At 41.1% G+C, this 19,438-nt stretch overlaps 1 long non-coding RNA gene across 2 annotated transcripts in view; it reads right to left on the minus strand.

Annotated features, from left to right (window-relative positions):
• The window catches only part of LOC105379013 (uncharacterized), a 406,546-nt gene that overhangs the window by 331,271 nt on the left and 55,837 nt on the right, over positions 1–19,438 (minus strand). Inside the window, exon 1 of one of the 2 annotated variants that reach the window (XR_007058805.1) lies at positions 2,006–2,115. The exons of the other annotated variant lie outside the window; for it this stretch is intronic. This is a non-coding gene — a long non-coding RNA (uncharacterized LOC105379013). Of the gene's footprint in view, positions 1–2,005; positions 2,116–19,438 lie in introns of those variants that run through there. 2 annotated transcript variants of the gene reach the window in all.

Consider the following 19,438-nt stretch of genomic DNA (forward strand, 5'->3'; position numbering starts at 1 on the left):
AAGCTGACTGATCATCATCCAAGGGGCAGTCCACTTTGCTTGCTGTTACACTCAACTAGAAGTATATTTGTGGTGGTAATTGCCCAACGGATTGGGACTGAAAGGATGGATTGCAGTGGGAAGCCTGCTTAGCAAACATTGCAATTAGTGCCACCTAAGTGTTGGAGGGTGAGCAAGGTAATAAACAAAAGAGTAAATTAATATGCATGTTCATTCCCCAAAGATAGCCAGATAGCTGGCTGCAACATCAGATGTTTCCTCTTTGCCTTTGCAGAGAGAATCACTCCTTTGTGCAGTGAGTGGTACAGTTGACATTTGCTGTGAGCATAGGCATCTGATAGTGGATGACAGGAGCCATGAAGCAGCCTAGCTGGGATGCCCTGAGGACTTTGAGCTCAAAGCCATGCCAGGTGTCCCCAGGGACCAGGAAGCACAAGGAACAGCAGTCATAAATTGGATAAAGAGCAAATTTCACAAGCATAGTGCTGACCCTGTCACTACAGACTCACACTGCCCAGGGAAGAAAAGAGGGAATAGAAGAGTTGGAGAACTAGAAAAGTTCATTTTCTCTCTGCCTCAGAAGCTCAGAGTGTCCAAAGTTTTCCATTCTGTGTGGTCAGGCTGTGACTAAAGCCACATATGTAAAATCCTTGTTCCCACTTCACTGTTAGAAAACAAACGGGCCCTTATTTCTCTCTAATGTAAGCAGCCATATCCACAGCTTTTGTCATATTCCAAAACCAAAAGGTGGTCACCTAAACAAAGCCCTGGACACCTGGGATGGTCTCAGTGCTCAAGACTGGGCCCACTGGACACATATGCCACCAAAAAAGCCTTTCCAATGACCCCCTCACTTTTTCCTTCTGCTTATTTTGTCCTTCTGTCTTTCCAACTGCTCCATTTGTGTTTTACCAAAATTTTTCCAACTAACAAATAACTAAGCAGCCCAAAACAAAAAGTCCGGGCAACAGCACATGGTATCATAACAGAAGAGAGTGTCTCTATTGCTCTCTCCCCTCTCCCCAAGGATTAGAAGACAAATAAACAGCACACTGCCCTGCTGACCACGAGGCTACCCACACCTCTATTCCACACCTTGTACTTGATGCCTTTCTGTGGGCATGGGAGGAATGCTCTCCTCATTCTGCAGAATTCATCAAGAGGTCTTCTTGGGCAATGGAGGCAAAACACATTGGAGCTTGAAAAACTAAAACACTGTGGGTGTTCTTGGTTGACTCAGTAAGCATGGACCTTTCCAGTTTTGAATAAATCTTGATTTTGTAAATCAAATTCCATCTTAAAACCCTAGAAGAGCTCAAAACTTAGAGTAACACTGTGGTATATTAATTTGCTAACCCCTGTTCTCTAAAGGAGTTCTTAACTGGAGTCCATGACTTCCAAGGCATGTGTAGATAGACTTTACAGAATACATTAATTTGGATGGGAAAAAACATTCATCTTTATTTTCAATAATTACTCAAACTTTGTACTTTCTTTAATTATGACTGTAGGTACCAAACCATAGTATCAGCAGTCCTAGTCAATAATTGTACCACCAATTGAGATCTTAGATATTTTGGTATTACATTACTGTTATTGCAGATATCTCAAAATATCACTTAAACTCATCAACTTGGAGATTACAGTCATGATTAGATGGCCACTAGACCTTGTTGTTTATTCCAGTACTAATGAAATACTTATATTATTATATCATAAATTTGTGTATTTTATCGATGACTTTATTTCAGTGTAATTGCTTTCTCCTGCAATCCTATTATTTTGATTTATGCACTAAAATATTATACTAGGGATTCTATAGGCTTCACCAGACTGTCAAACAGGGCCACAGCACAACAAAAGGTTCAGAACCCCTGCTGTAAACTCAATGGACCACTCACTCTTTCCCCAAACACATTCTACACTTTAAGCCAAGGCAACTTCTACTTTCAGAATATCTCATTGACTTCTTTCATTACCACAAATTAAAACCATATTACCTTACCTGCCCCTCAACGTATAGACCAAATGCCACTTCCTTTAGAAAGCTTCCCCTGATTCCCTTCAACTGGTCAGATGGCATTTTCAGTCTTTCTTTTCGCGTTATCACATTCTACCTTGTAACTATTTGTGTACACATTTTATTTGACTTGATTAAAATTTCCTGGTGTTCTTCATTGCTGAGTGGCCAAAAACAGTAACCTTTGCACAGGTCTGCTGCCCTTGTGGCCCCGTTCTCTACACTGCCCTCATTTCTCTACATTTCTACACCGCAGTCCTGTTCATGACACTCCCCTTTTATTTTACAGGATAAAATCAAATTCCTTGGTCTGGCATTCAAGGCCCTTCCCAATGCCACCTACAATTTAAGTCTTCACCTCTTCAATCTCTGAGCCCTATGTTCTAGTCATTCCTCAAATTCCCACACTGTTTCATACTTCCACACTTTCATGTCGTATAATCTGTCTTCCCAGAATATTCTATGTCCTTTTTCACGGAGAAGAGAAAATGACAGCCCCATTTCCAAAAGAGCATTTATTTTCATGGGGTTCCTACTCAGATGCACACAGACAGACACTTTGCAAAGCTGGCTGCAGCAATAGCGCTCCATTACCTGAGTTTCATTACTGAAAAACTTGGTCACAAAATTCCATTCTAAAGTGCCATATTTATGTTTTATCACTTTGTGACAGAGCTCCAAATGTTCCAGAACCATGAGACAGGTTGAAACTACTAGTACATCCCTCTCACCTGTCACCATCTGAACTTCAAAGCCATTGCCAGACCCTCACCCTCTTTTGCTCTGGGCCTGCCGCATGACAGCCTAGCCTCCAAAGTTGACCAACCACCCAGTTATTTCCACTGATCCCTATAGAATTTCCTTAGCTAACAGATGGCTCCATTACCATGGAACCACATAGTGGAATGTTAACCCTAGATCCCTTACAGTCATCTCTGGGAGATACTGTGAAGGCAGATAGTAATGTAGGCATTCTCCCAGCTCACCACTGATCCTTCCTGCATTTGATGAAGCTCATGCCATTCAGCTTGCCCACCTTCTACCTTTGCCTTATTTCAACCCCCATCTACCACCAGTGGATATTTAATGATGCCTGGTAAGGATGAAGGCAGCTGCTTCACAGACTCCACCACAACTTGTGCCATCTTCTGGGATGACTTGAGTCCCCCATCTCCTGGTCTTACACTTCCTAAACCTTCTAGACTCCATTGGTCACTTGATCTGCACATCAGCAACTATTCACATGGTTCACACAGGACCTTATCTCCACCTCCTAAATCATTAAGCCTGAAGTCCCATTCTCTGAACATCACCATCCATCCTACCAGTACTAACAGTTAGTCATTCCATCTAAATATTCTCTCCTACCTCATAGAATCCTCTTGGCCCTTTATTTATTTACTTTCTTTGAATCTAGAAAACAAACAAAAACAACACACTTCTTTAAGATTCATTCTTCCCTCCAGAACATAATTTTGTGCTCCCATCCCTCTCCCTGAATCCCACATAAACCATAAGACTTCTTGACCACATAGACTTCTCACTCTACAAAGAGGACTAACACAGGGCTTTGAAAGGCAGGGCCCAGGGCAGGAGACCCAGTGCAAGGGTCTAGGGGTGATGTTGCCACTCTGCCTGGAGTAGAGGCATTGTACCCTTGCCTATGTTCCCAATAGATTGTCAGCTCCCTGCAGTGTAGGAGTTTTCTATCCCACTTCCCAGAAAATGAGAGAGAGGGTGCTCTTATTAGGCTTCTAACCACACAAAAGTACTGAGTTCACCCAGGAGAGCTTGCTCATAAGAAATGCTGGATAAATAGTTGTTTTGTGAATGAATTAACAAAGACTCCTTTTATACTTGGAACAATTAAAAAATCTATCATTTGGGTTATTTATTAGTAAGTCTTACATTGTTATTCAACCTTATGGTCCTTCATGTCTTGTCTCCCCTAAAAGATTTTAAGTTCTTAACAGGTTTTCTTTTTTTTTTAATTTTATTATTATTATACTTTAAGTTTTAGGGTACATGTGCACAATGTGCAGCTTAGTTACATATGTATGCATGTGCCATGCTGGTGTGCTGCACCCATTAACTCTTCATTTAGCATTAGGTATATCTCCTAATGCTATCCCTCCCCCCTCCCCCCACCCCACAACAGTCCCAAGAGTGTGATGTTCCCCTTCCTGTGTCCATGTGTTCTCATTGTTCAATTCCCACCTATGAGTGAGAATATGCGGTGTTGGGTTTTTTGTCCTTGCAATAGTTTACGGAGAATGATGATTTCCAATTTCATCCATGTCCCTACAAAGGACATGAACTCATCATTTTTTATGGCTGCATAGTATTCCATGGTGTATATGTGCCACATTTTCTTTATCCAGTCTATCATTGTTGGACGTTTGGGTTGGTTCCAAGTCTTTGCTATTCTGAATAGTGCCACAATAAACATATGTGTGCATGTGTCTTTATAGCAGCATGATTTATAGTCCTTTGGGTATATACCCAGTAATGGGATGGCTGGGTCAAATGGTATTTCTAGTTCTAGATCTAGATCCCTGAGGAATTGCCACACTGACTTCCACAATGGTTGAACTAGTTTACGTCCCACCAAGAGTGTAAAAGTGTTCCTATTTCTCCACATCCTCTCCAGCACCTAAGTTCTTAACAGGTTTTCTATCTCCCATAAAAATCTCAGTGTCCTAAACAAAACCTGCACTCAATAAATATTTGTTGGATTTTTTATGAGTCCTTTTCATTAACATGTTGAGGTTTTTATTTTTCCCATCATCTCAGTAGTTATATTGTGAGTCATCATAGCCCAAAGGGTAATAGGATTATAACAGAAAGCTTCTGAGAGTCATTTCAACTGGTTGTTAGTAATAATTTATTTTTAATTTTAAAAATAAACTGTAGCTGTAGCTATTTTACTAGTAAAACACAATAGCTGCTGTTAATCATGCTCAGGCAATTGTAAACTAACAATTGAACCCGTGTTAATGAGTCAGAGAAAAAAGTGAAAGAAAAAAGGATAGGTTTAGAAGACAGAATTTGAGAAATTGAATTTGTGTGGAACTGTTGCAAAAAAACTTGGCTGAAGAAAGAATTAATGATGATCCCTAGAGCCAGGACTTTTCACAACTCTAGGAGCAATTTGGCAACTCCATCAAAATTAAAGCAGCCTCTGATTAATAAATGGGTCTTTTGAGACGATCATTTTAAGGAAGGAGGGAGACCTACATAAAGCTTCTTGAACCTGACATCCTATGGCCACAGAAAAATGAACTCCTCAGGAGCATTCATTCCATTGATACTATCTTGCAAGTTTCCTTGAACTTTAATAAACCTAAGGAACCTGACCAGAATGAGTATTTTTGCCCAGAAGAATCAGGAACAATGTAGGCAGAAGAGTGAACAAACCCCTTCTGTTCATTAATAAGAGTTTTTTTATAACAACTTTATTGTGACATAATTTACATACTATAAAATTCACCCTCTTAAAGTGCATTTCAATGGATTGTACTAGGTTCACCAGGTTGTGCACATAATCTAATTCTAGAACACTTTGTTTCTGCAAAAGAAACTCCATACCCATTTGTAGTCACTCCCCAATCCTCCTATCCCCTCACCCCTAAGCAAACATTAATCTACTTTCTGTCTCTATGGATTTATCTGTTCTGGACATTTCAAATAAGTGGAATCACACAATATACGGTCTTTTATGACTGGATACTTTTAGCATAATGTTTTCAAGTTTCAACTATGCAGTAGCAAGTATCAGTGCTGCATTCCTTTTTATTGCCAAATAACATTTCATTGTAAGGATAGACCACATTGAAATTATGTTTAGAGAATAACAATTCTGTGTCTGTTGGTGCTTCTACCTAAACCCACCTTATAAGATCTCCAGTTTCTAGATACAAGGATACATGATCGAATAAGTTCTATCAGTGTATGAACTTCACAGGTTACTTCTCCAAGCTTCAATTTCCTTACTTGTAAGGTAGAACTAATACTAGTACCACTTTGTAGAGTTATCAGGATTATTATAATTTATTAAAGACTGGTACAGTGATTTCCCATGGGAATAACTTAATAATCATTAGATGTCATGAGAACATAAAAATGTTAACATCTTTCTTTTAAATTTGATTGGATTTTTAATTACAAAAGGAGATACATATTGATTATAGCCAATAAAAAACACAGAGATGAGTTTTTAGGTTCGTAATCTTTCTCTCAGCTGTCTATCCATCCTCAGACATTGTCAGTGTAAAGTGTGGTGTGTATCTTTTCACACCACTCTCTGTGCTCATACAAACTCACAAAATCAAAATGCACATGCAGAGAGGTTTTTCCCTTTTATTTTAATATACACTATACACATTGCTTTGCAATTTACCTTTTTTAAAACTCAAAAACTTGATTATTTTTTCCAGGCCAATATGTGTCTATCTTTTTCTCTTTAAAAGCCATGCCATATTCTCAAAATATATTCAACTCATCTACTACTGATGCACATTCAAGTCATTTTCACTTGCCATTATAAAAATTCTGTGATAAACATTCTTTTAATGAGCAATCACAATCACAATTTTGATATCATCATTATATCCATATCTTTGCATTCTCAAGGCCAATCTAGGTCCATTCTCTACCTCATGAACACCAAGGATCAGGACTTCTATGAACCAAGGATGGAGAACCAAATTATCTATAATAAGGAATTTCAAACAGAAGGAATTTGAGGAAAAAGAAACTACTTCGGCCAATGAACAACTACAGAGACCTAGACCTGCACAGAAGATAGTACAGGGCATTCTGAACAAGAGAAGAAGGACAACCGAGGAGAAGGCGGAAGAAAAGGTGATCAAACCAGAAGAGGCAGGACCAGTAAGCTTCCTAAGAAAACTCTGCTCCTCCCCCTGGGGAGAAAGTGAATTTTTGGCCCTCTACCCAACCTAGTTATTTTCCTTAGTATTAGAGATAGCATTGTCCTTTAGATTACTTCTTTCTGGAAATGATTTTCTAAATTTTAATTAAAACTAAACCCTTTACAATGAAGCCTTACTATTACATTCTAAATTAAACAAATAAAAACATATATCCAAATGTATTTAAAATGGGGCAATGGAAGGATATGGTAAAGCTATGTGACAGGCTGAATGAATTTTAATGTCATCCTGGAACTTGACTGTATGTAGTGCTTTTGTCCGTTTCATGGGAGAACCTGCTGTTGGGCATATATGCTTATAAAGCCTCTTGATGAACTTCCTTCAGTGGGTTTTAGTCACTAACGTACTAAAATAAGATCTGAAAATGATTAAATTGCAAGGTATTTCAACCACGGTTTTCTCATGACACAGGCTCTGCTTTACCTTACAGCTGGTTCCAGTGTCCACGAATGAATTTTCTATGAACCTCACATATGTTACCCCCTTCCCAAAAGCCAAACCAATTTAGAGAGAACACAGGGAAAATGATCCTTTTCTTTATTTCTGGAAATACGTGCTATGCGGAAAAAGTTTCTATCCAGAGGGAAAACTTCTGGATTTTACTGGCTCACTGAAATATAAACCATTTAGTGGCTTTTTTCTTTAAACCCAAGATTAAGCTTTCTTTCGTCTGTTTGCACATGTCAACCAAAAATAGCAGAGTATATATAAGAAAAACACTGTTTGTATAAAAATGAAAATTTATACCCCAAAAGCCATGATCTCCTTTTGCTGAAGTGTTGTTTCATGAATTTTTTTATTCAGGTGGTTTATTAGATTACTGTAATAACATGAAAGAGAATAGTGATTCCCTATCAACCCTGAAAATTCTCACAAAATTTGCAAGGGGATCACTAAAGATAAGTGACTGCTGACAGCTCAGGGCTAGCAATTGCACAGAAACCCAGCCAGGTAAATAAATATGTTCACTGAGATTTAATATTCTGTTACAGTATAAAAAAATTAATAACTCTTTTAATTGACAGATTCTTTATTTCCTTTTACCAAGGTATAGATGGCCCCCTAAATAACCTCTAGATGTATTAAATCTTGGCAGCATACAGCTATTTCCTCTGTGGTCTTCAAGGTCCTGACACCCTTCATCTTACACAAGGCAGCGTATTTAAATCTTTCAAGGGGCCTTTTATAACTGGGCCACCCTGTTTCTCTTCACAGGAGATACTGAAAGCCTATTTGTCAGGAGCAATAAAGGGACTTATCAAGGCCTGCTGTCAGGCCAAGAGGAGGCCCACCTGCTCAACTCCTAACTCAAGGATTATGTTTCTGTTTGTTGCGGTCTTTCCAACAATTTTGGAATCAACACTTCACACCTTATCCTTGATAATCTATTTCAGCCATAAGTAGGAAGCCATTTAGCATGAAGAAGTTGTTGATTTGATACAAATTCACATTTCACACATGATATCTAATAAAGCCCCTATCATTAACTCAATGCCATTGCATTATTCATACAAGTCAGGAGTTCAAGGCAGTGTGCCTTTACATTGATCTAGCTCTCTGGGCCCCTAAGACTTAAAGCAGTACACCCAGAAAAAAGTTGTTCTCTCTACCTCATCTCCTGCTCCCTCGATCCCTCCCAATCAGCCCTGCCTATTCGAGTTCCCTTCCTGACTTCACTATTCTTCTTACATCCACACCTACAAACCTGATGTTTCTCTTACTGATTAAGATCTCCCAGAATGAATCCACACACAACCTACCCGAACCGGGTCATTTTTCCTAAAAAAAGACTCTGGAATACCTTTTTGCCATAAGTCATGAACTCTTTGATGGCAGGGACTGGATTTAATTTATCTAGGGCCTGGCACTAGTATATAGTAAGTGCTTAATTTGAAAAAATTATTAACAGTAGCAGTAGTAATAATAATGATAGATGGCAAACATTTCTTGAGCACTTATTTTGCACCAAGAACTCTGTTGACCTTCTTATTTGCATCGTCTCATTGAGTCTTCACAACTGTAGTGTTAAGAGAAGCATAATTATCCCCACCTTACAGATAAATAAACAGGTTTGGATAAGTACTTTGCTCAAGATCACACTTATAAGTGGGAGAAAAGAGGTTGAAATCCGGGTTCATCTGACCCCAGAGCCCAGACTCTTTAACCCAACCATTATTGCATTTTGATAAATGAATTTAATTATATGTCCAGCTACGTTAACCTTTAGATGCTGTTAACAGGGATCCTGCAGGCAGAAAGAAACAGTCAAGTCCTTAGAAACTTTTTGAGCTATTAAGATTTCTCTTTATCACTGATAATTTGTGGTACCAAAGAACTATGCTACCAGGAGACAATGTTGTCTATGAGATCAGCACTTATCTATTTTGGGACCATGTGGGAGTGTACCAAACAGTGCACATGTAATTTTATACTTTGCTTTTCTTATGGTGGGCTCCAAATTAACCAATGCTTGACAAAGGAGAACTGAACAGGATCCAGGCAAGGAACACGAAGTTGCAACTCGGTTCTAATTCATCCAATAATCAGGACACCTTTCACGTGGTGTTTATTCTGCTCCCATTTACCTCTCTTGCATAATCACCATCATTTTAGTTTCCAGCGGTTCTGCTTGCTGAGCAGGTGATGAACAACTTCCAGGCACTAACTTCAACCTGCAAATGGTCCCATCATCACTTCTCCACACATAGTCTCTTATGTCCCCAGGTGTTATGCAAGTTCAGTTACTAAGCTTTCTGGTCTGTGAGCTGCTTGTCTTCCTGGAACTACATAAGCAGGAGGAGAGGACTATAAGCCATTAGCTTGCTTCTCAGATTTGGAGACCTGAGGCTTAACTGAGGTTTACTGGCAACTAGGTTTGTCTTTTTTCCAGATCCTTCCAGCTCTGGCCCCTGTTAAGTTCTTTGAGCACACCCGCTTCTTTTCCCGTTTCCCAATCCACTGAAATTTCATTTCTGGGATGGAATCATAAATTACAAGGTGTAATCTAAAGGAAAACATTTATTTTGGAGTCTCATTAACAACTGAGAGGAGAGTAATAGTGTTTATTCCCAGCACGATGGCGTAGACTCCTGCAGATGCAAAAAAAGGCCAAGCCCTCTTCCTAATCCTTACACACACACGCACACACTGGGTCAATATTCACAATAGTGAAAGTACCACATATAGGCAGAAGTAAGAAACACTCCCACAGAGACAGTCTCTTAATATTCTGTTCAAACATCAAGTTTGAAGCTCCTTTTAATTAGTGATTTACTGGCAACCATACATCATTATTCACCCTACCTGCCAGTTTTTATATTGTCTCTCAGCCCCAAAATTCAGCCTTCTACACTCTGTGATTCTAAGGCCAAGGCTCTGCAAACCACATCTCTCCTTTGCCAGGTGACTCTATATTTGACTGCCAATGAGGCACACCAGAGGGAAACTGCAAGGTAGAAGCCAGAGAAGGCACGTGGTCCTTCCTGCTTGCTCCCTACTCCTGTCAGCATCACCCAAACACTGGCCCTTCATCCTGGAAGTGACCACTGGTTTTAGTCTTCTACTTCTTTCTGCCCCTTCAAAACCACCCTCATCACACCTCACTCCCATTGACCTCTCCCCCAGGCTGCTGAGATATCTGCACCAGTTGGGTGGTGCCCTTCCCTCAGAGGTCTGAGTCTTAGCTCTGTGAGACCCTCCTCTGAGCTTCCCAACCTCTTCCCTGTGTTCCCCAGCCAGCTCTGTGGTTGGTAGCTGCATCATGTAATTATTACCTCTGTGTTACCTCAGTGTTCCCTTTTTGCTCTATCTGAAACATGTTTAACCAATTCCCCGTATTCGATCTTCTCTGTTGGAAGACCTGCAGTGGCTTCTATTCTTCTGACTAGCAACAAGGGGTACTCCCTGTTTTAGCCATACCTTGTTTTAACCCTACCTGCCTGACCCCCAATCCTAATCATTTTGCTCCTGCAAAAATTTTCTAACTATAATATTTTCTGGTTTTCACACTCTAATACCTGGGTAGTAATTGATGTTAGTGGATGGCATGGAGGACAGGGCAAGGCATCAGGAATCCTATAACTCAAGAACTGGAAGCAACCTCAGAACATAAACTATTAATGGGCTCACTTATGGGATGGGGCTTAGGGAGGTCAAATGAAAGCAAACCTTCCTGTCAGCTTGCTCCAAAGTGGAAGCAGTAAAGATTTCTTACCAAAATACTTGGAAAAGAGGCTCAGAAACTAATGAACAATACTCACATTTGAATAAGTCCAGGAATTTGAAATGACACAATAAACAGGTATCACCACTGAGTGATTAAAAGAATACCAGAAATAAATTATTGCCCAATGTTACTCTCTACTCTACCCATTCTTTTCCACCGTCAATGAAATCCCACCTTCCAAGATTCACTTTCTTGGTTTGCCTCTCTTAGCATTCTCTGAGGTTCTCTTCTAGAATTGCAGGAAGAGGAGTGACTTAGTAGGAAATTTTCAGTCTCTACCTTTCTACTGAGAATTGGCCTGTGAGCTATCCTTCACTCAGGATTGCTAGCTGAGATAAGAGCTTTGGGAAAGTTGGGAGCATTCATGAAAACAAATGAAGAAAGTTCTGTAGCACCAGGGCAAAACACATAATACATGTTACATCAGACACTCATGAGTACAAATCCTGGATTTACCACTTTCTAGCCTGAGACTAGGTCAAGTAACTCAGTTTCTGACCCTAAGCCTCAGATTCTCCAGCCGCAAAGTGAGGGTAATGACCTTTCGGTACCTCTATAAGGGTAAGATCTAAGACGTAGAACACCTTTGGTGTAATGTTCTGGCAGGGCATCACTTGGCAGTGGAAGTTTGTGATTAAGCCTGTCTGGAGGGGGGTCACATGTTGTCTCAGCCTCTAGCAAGCTCTCATCTTTTCTTTTACTCTTTGAAACAAGCCCAAAGCCTCAGTCTCAGCTTTTCATTTTCTCTCAAAGTCCTCTACTGCTTACCCTGCTTCTAAGGGCTTTTCTGCCCCTTCTCCAAGATGTAAAGGGAAGCATTCACCCCAGCTCTTTTGCTTTCTTGTAGCCTCAGAAAATGATCACATGGTATTTGTTTTCCTTTTAGAAGTTTACTGCAAAGCACCACTAGGATGGGAGGAAACACAATTAACAAGATGGGTAAGGCTCAAAGACCACAGAATCCTCACTGTGGTGGTTTGTAGTTTCTAACTCGTCCGGGAAGGTGACCCTGGGCTTCTGCCCTCCTGTCATATCTGCGGGTGAAGAATGGAATAACCGATGCTTTCTCTTCAGTGCCTCTCCTCTCAGGCTGAAGAGGAAGAGAAACATACATGTCTTTTGTCTCCAGAATGCAATTGGCATCTCCAAGGCCCTGCTCCAGGATGACAAAAAGAAAAAAAAAAAAATCTGCCCTGCCCAGGCCAGAACTCCTAGGGCCATTACTTTCTGGTGGTACCATATGTGTGCCTCTGGGTATCCTGAACAAGAGGAATTTGCATTTGGGAGAGGAAAATAAAAGTGTGGCCAACAATGGGGAGAGAGAGAGAGACCCTTAAAAGATATTCTTGAGTTACTTCCCAATTTACCTTCAGGCTACCACCTGCAAAGGGTCTGATCCCTCCCTCCTTCCCCTGCCACATTCTCATTTATGATTCTATTTTAACAACCACAAAACCAAGAGCATAAGTCCAACACTTACTATGTTCCAGGCACTGTTCTAAATGCTTGCCTGCATTAATTCCCACAACAACCCATAAAGTAGTTGTTATTGCCCATTTTACAGATGAAGGAATTTAGGCCACAAGAAGACAACTTGTCTGCGATCCCATCCTAAGGAAAGGGCAGAGCTGGGATTTGAACCAAGGCCTGTCTGACTCCAGACCTTGAGTCTTCATGATATTATGCTTTTCCAATAAATCCCTCTCCCCATCTCCCTCAGAAAGGCCCTTCCTAATCCTTTACAGGATCTCCTAATCCCTGGCAGAATTCTCCTAGAATGTTTGCCGTGCAGTGAGAAAAGAGTGAGCGCTACCAAACAAATTCCCCAGATTTCTTCTTCTCACTCTAGCTGGAGCAAGGTTTCAATAGATATGCCTAAGTTTTAAAGATAGCATTTGGATCTCAGTAATGAAATATGACACACAAAGGCACATGTACTTTGGAACAGGAATTAAAACTGGCCTGGGGAGATGCAGGCAGAAGGCAAGCTGAGGGTGAGGTCATTGACTCAAGTACTCTCAGCCCTTTATTTGATGCCTGGTGGGCTCAGACCTTGGGACTAATCTCCCTTCTCCTCTAAGCTGATGAGCTTTGCGGGAATCTGTGCATTGCCTTGGAAAGAGGAGTGGTAATAGGAGGTTGGGATGAAGGGGGCTGAAATTTTTTGGAAATTTTATTTTTTCTCCCTTTGTCCACACACTTTTTAATTAGTTTGCTGTCTTTGGGGTCTTGATATTTTTAATGGACAACCATGTTATTTCGCTTTAATTCCCTTCAAGATTGGGTCATCTCTGAGCCAATAAATCAGAGGCTTCTTGAACTCCTTGCAATCTGTGACTTTGGGAAAGAAAAGGGTTTTTCTGTATTAGTCAGTGTCTTGTCTTTCTCTATCCCATAATCCATGCCAAAATAACACTGGGGAGAAGGATGTTTTAAAAGACTGGGCCACAGTGGTCCTGGCTACCAGGCTGTTGCTTGCCAGCCCCATTTTAACCTGCCTTTTTTTTCGCCATCTACCTGCACCCAAGCTGGCACAGGCCCCCAGCTGCAGCTGATGGGGAAACTCTTGCCAGCCACTCCCGTGGAAATAAGCAGCCCTGCTGAGACCATTTTGGCACCACAGTCAGATAAAAAACAATGCTCTACTCCTGGCTTCATCTCACTTCATGTCCCTTCTCTCCCAGCTGGCTGCTTGGACAGGTCACCTCTCAGCTCACTGTTTACCCAATTCCACTTCAAAGAGAAAATACCTGTTCCTTCTGGTCTAATAAAATTTCATCGCTTTTCCAGGCCCCGGGACAGGAGAAACTTTGGTAAAATTTGCCCAACAGCATGAATCTAATGCAAAAGAAAAAAAGTTTAACATTCCGAATTTTTAAGCCTTTCCTCACCTTATTCAATTAATAATATCAGCACTTCTTTTCTTAATTCCAGAAATATTTATTGAGCCACTACAACAAATTGGGTACCATGCTAGGCACTGAGAGGGCACCCAAGAATACAGCACAGACCCTAGCCTGAGTGAAGAAATCAACTCAAAGTGGGAAAAAAAAATACATGGCTAAATAATCTTCACCATATGTAGCTTGCCTGTCATCAGTAATAGTCACCAGACGTTTTCTGCTAAAACACTAAAATAGTCCTACAGTAAGGCATTAATCTCATCTCATAGGCCATATTCAGTCGGCCCTGATCTTGGCTGTTGATTTTCTCACATATCCAGAATCAGAGTAGAGCTGATAATAATGTCTATTAAGATATAGCACGGCAAAGTGCCTCTTCTAGCAAGCAAGTGTGGAAGAGTTTCCATTACCCATTGCACACACTGACAGTTTTTCTGATCCAAAGCAGCTGGGGCCCTGAAAAGACTGATGGCTGTGTTTTGATTCTTCTTCAGTGCCAATGAAGAGCCTTGACTTTGTGATGCCAGTGCTGGCACCTTCTTCTGTGTCCCTCATTGGCACCTTCTCACATGCCCTTTTTCTGTTTGTTTATGTACATCCTCCTGACAGCAGAAGAGGCCTGAAGACAAAAATCAAATCCACATGGTCTGGGGAAGCAAATTATTAGCACAGAGGCCCTCCAGCCCCTGGTCTTCACTGCAGTGAGTGTCCCACAGTGGCTTCAGAGCAATCCTCCATCATGTATGCACAGATAATTAATGAGATTTTTTGGAACGGGTGGGTGTCTCAACAATGTCAAGGAACTCAACAAAACAGAGTGAAGGCAGAGCCCCAGCACCTCGAGGAACTTATGGATGTACAGCCGAAGGACCTGCATGCATGAATGCATTCAAGCTCTAAGGCAGAGAAAGAGGGAATTATGCTTTGAGGAGATGAAGGGAAATTATACTTTAGGAATAATGATCACTTACCCACCCCTACCTAATGAGGTAAATACACAGCAGTGCACACAAATTATGTTGGAAACGATAGAGTAGAATTAAAAAAAAAACTATAGAGATTTACCACATGCTCTCACTTGCACTTTATTTAATTCTCCTAGCTACCATATGCAGTAGGCCTTTCTATCACCACCATCATTATGGATGAGAACACAGAGAGTCAGAAATAGTAACTAATTCACCTGAGAAGCTACAGGGCACAGGGTAAGCATTGCGGCCTGGCGTGCACAGCCTCCCGCTGTGCCCGCTGTCCTGGGGAGCACAGGCCTGGAGGGTCTGCAGAAGAGGAGCTCGTGCCCTGAAAGTCACATGGAAGACCCTGGCGAGACGGTCAACGAAACATACATGGACTGGGAGAGGTAGGATTTACTTGACCCAGATGGAAGAAGACAAGGAAAAAGGCAAGAAAAAGAATGTAGAGAAAAGATAGCCAAGGGGTGATCAAAGAACATCTGGTTTTATTTCAGATTTGGTTGCACTTGTGACTGAGACTCTCACCTTTGCCCTCTTGTCCTCATTCATCCTCTCTCCCTCCTTTCTCCTCCCCCCACACGTCTCTGTGTCTGTCTCTATCTATCTGTCTATCTATCTATCTATCTATCATCTATCTATCTATCTATCTATCTATCTCTCCTAGAGCTACCTCTGACCTCTCTAGCACCATATACTCACATAGCAGTGCATATAATTATAGTCAGATTTAAATGTAAATCTTCCTTTCTTCCGATGGCCTCAGACTTTTAGTAGAGGACCTCAAAGAAATAAAGCCATAGTTTTAAAAATGCTGGACCATCCTTGCAAAACTTACAAGTAAGTGGGGATGTGGATAGGGCCCTAAACCTACCTCTAGTCCATTAAAAAAAAAGCTCAAGTTGGGGGGTCAGGAGAGAGGATTTCTTTGGAGAGAGTTATCAGTGCCCTGTGCATTTCCAACACCCACCTATCCCAACAGAAGAGGCTTGAAGGGAACCATGTGAGAGCTTGGCCTGTGTTCTCTGGAGTTTGAAGGGCATAGAGACTGGCCTATGGTGCACACTTTCTCTGTTAGAATATACTCCATGCATATATTAAAAGTCTAGTAAATATTTGTTGAATGATGGAATAGATGGTAAAAGAATGAGTAAGTGAATGAATGCTGAAAAGAGTAAAAGGGAGAAGCTGTGACTAGAACTAAAGGGAAGAGATAGGTATATTAGCTACACAACAGTGATAGAAAGTATATTTACACACATTGCACACAAATTTATGGAATGAATGAATACAGTGAGGAAACCAAGGCTATGTTGGCTAAATAGACCTTTCCTCATATTAGACATCCCGGCTAGCGGAAAAGCCCACCATGGCCCAGGACTTCTCCATATTGTCCTTCAAGGGCCCTGGCCTCAAGTCAATCCCTAAAAAGTAGACAAGAAAAATATACAGGCAACATCCCATAAGAAAGAAATCTCTAGAGTTAAAAGGTATTTGGGTTCTATATCTGGCTGATAAGAGATTCTGATTCCTGAGTCTATTTCTTTGCTTCTGTCTTTCATATCATTCTTTCTTCTACTCTGAATTCTTCCCCTTAACCTTAGTCCAGTCTTTGCTTGATAACAACATTTGACAATAGAAGGGAAAGGAAATATTGTCCCACTCATTTATCTAATCAGCACACTGAGTGCTTTCTCCATGTGCTGATCTCAGTATCTCGCCCAGAGACCCAGGTAAAGTGCCCACTGCTATTCCAGCGATGAGCATCACTTGCCTGTACACTTCAGGACTTCTAACGTGGTAAAATCCTCCATGTAATTAGGTGGTAAAACTGCATTTATAATCTATCCTAATGCTCCAGCACAGGTTCCTGAATTACAGACCCAGTATCTGTGCTCCACTACTCCCCATAAAAGACAGCATGTGATATGGTTTGGCTGTGTCCCCACCCAAATCTTATCTTGGATTATAGCTCCCATAATGCCTGCATATTGTGGGAGGGACCCAGTGGGAGATAATTGAATCACGGGGGCAGTTTCCCCCATACTGTTTTCGTGGTAGTGAATAAGTCTCATGAGATATGATGGTTTTATAAGGGGAAAACCCTTTTGCTTGGCTCTCATTCTCTCTTGTCTGCTGCCATGTAAGATGTGCCTTTCGCCTTCCACCATGATTATGAGGCCTCCCCAGCCACGTGGAGCTGTGAGTCCATTAAACCTCTTTTTCTTTGTAAATTACCCAGTTTCAGGTATGTCTTTATCAGCAGCGTGAAAACGGACTAATACAGCATACTTCTGGAAACACAGTTAATACAGCCACAGCAATGAGAGAGAAGTATGGTTGTTCAAGCAAACACATACATTTGAAAGACCAGATCCAAAGCAGAATCATCACAGTGGACCTTGAACGCCCTTCCCCAGGATGGATTCCCTAGGCCTCCTGATGCTCCTGTGAAGGAGGAAGATCAAGCCAGTTTCCGAGCAGTGACCAAAACCAAATCCCACCATACTTCCAAGATCTAAGTTATCAAATGAAAGCAGCCAGGGTCACCGAGCATGGCAGTGTGATATGCCAGATCTATTTATCCTGTCCTATTTGGAAGAGGGTGGGATTCCAGGGCAAGGAAATTCCAGAAGACTCCATGTGAGAAGCCAAGCCTTTGATACAAATTTCTTTCACTCCTTGCTTCCCAATGCAAATATCTCATTACTCCATGCAAATAACTTTCAAAACCACAGCTTCCTCTGTGTCTTGTCATAAGAAAATCTGTGAACGGGTACTGGGACAAGCACCGTACAGAGTACCTGCTCTCCCCCTATCATTTGGAGAGAAGGAGCCTTGAGCTCATCAATGGCTTGGTTCCATGTGTCCCCGAATAGGAAAGGGAGGATCAAAGGGCCAAAAATATTCATTTCTGAGGGAAAAGTAGAAGAATTAAATGTGTAGAATATGCCAAATGATGCCTGAAGGGGGATATAAATACCTATAAGCATTTGAGGGTGTAACTAAACACCACAAGGAGGGACTTTTTTTTTTTTTTTTTTTCAGACGGAGTCTCACTCTGTTGCCAGGCTGGAGTGCAGTGGCACGATCTTGGCTCACTGCAACATCCACCTCCTGGGTTCAAGTGATTCTCCTGCCTCAGCCTCCTGAGTAGCTTGGACTACAGGTGCACGCCACCACACCTGGCTAATTTTAGTATTTTTAGTAGAGACAGGGTTTCACCATGTTGGCCAGGATGATCTCGATCTCTTGACCTTGTGATCCACCCGCCTCGGCCTCCCAAAGTGCTGGGATTACAGGTGTGAGCCACCGCACCTGGCCAGCTTTTTGTTCTAAAGGTGGTTCAACTGGCTTAACTAGGAGAGACTGAAGGAAAGCAAAGGAAAATCTGAACCAGGTGTTATGAAAATTTTGCCCTCGACAAAGGCTACTATGCAGAGGGAACAGGCATCAACAGAACCTCTAGATGGAAACTTCTATTCTCTAGAATTTTTGTCATGTCTCATTTCCAATCATTTCTCAGATGCATTTGTTTGGACTTAGAAATATATGCAGTCCTTTGTGTCTACATTTTCTACGTACATTGTTGCCTTTTGTGTCTTTGTTCTCTATGTACTTTTTGGCATGTACTCTCCACGCCATAATTTGTAAATGCCCTGGTCTTGCGGTCCTATAGGGCAGTAGATATGCTTCATTTATCAGATCAAACAATCTTAGTAATGGTGATTTTAGGAATAAAATACCAAACAAAGAATCCCTCCATTTTAGTGACTTCAATGCCTCAAATAGATTTGAAGTTCTGGAACAGGCCTAAGTGCTTCTCAGTCTTCTCCAAGTTCTCTGGAGGGAAGAGGGATCAAGTCAGCTGAATATAGTCAGAAAATATATGTTGACAGTTTTCTCCGGAGATGCACTATATGGCAAGTCCTTCTGGAATTTCTAGATGGAAAGAAATATGTATGGTGAGAACAGCTTTTCTGAGAGTCTTTCAACACATTTATTCCCAGATGGGTTCAGTGCAAAAGTGAAAATCATTTTTTTAAGGAGCGAAGAAATTTCAACAAAGGTTTGGTTTGAATTTAAACTAGAGAGCTAGGCCTCTCCTTCATACGAGTGGTTTATGAGGGGCTCTAAGCTTCATTTACAGCTCCTACTAGGTTCATGTTCTACCAGAGAAGAGGCCCTGACCTGGTGGTCTGTAGAGTTTATATCCTTCCCTTATCATTTAAATATCTAGATGACCTTGGATAAATCAACTTTCTACTCTGGATCAGCTTCCTGACATATAAAAGAGGGAATTGGACTAAACTGGTGGGGTTTTTTTTTTAACATTTTTTTAGGCAGCAGAGGCCCTTTTTAAATAT

This window comes from Homo sapiens, chromosome 5, assembly GCF_000001405.40.
Source record: "Homo sapiens chromosome 5, GRCh38.p14 Primary Assembly".
Classification (NCBI taxonomy): domain Eukaryota; kingdom Metazoa; phylum Chordata; class Mammalia; order Primates; family Hominidae; genus Homo; species Homo sapiens.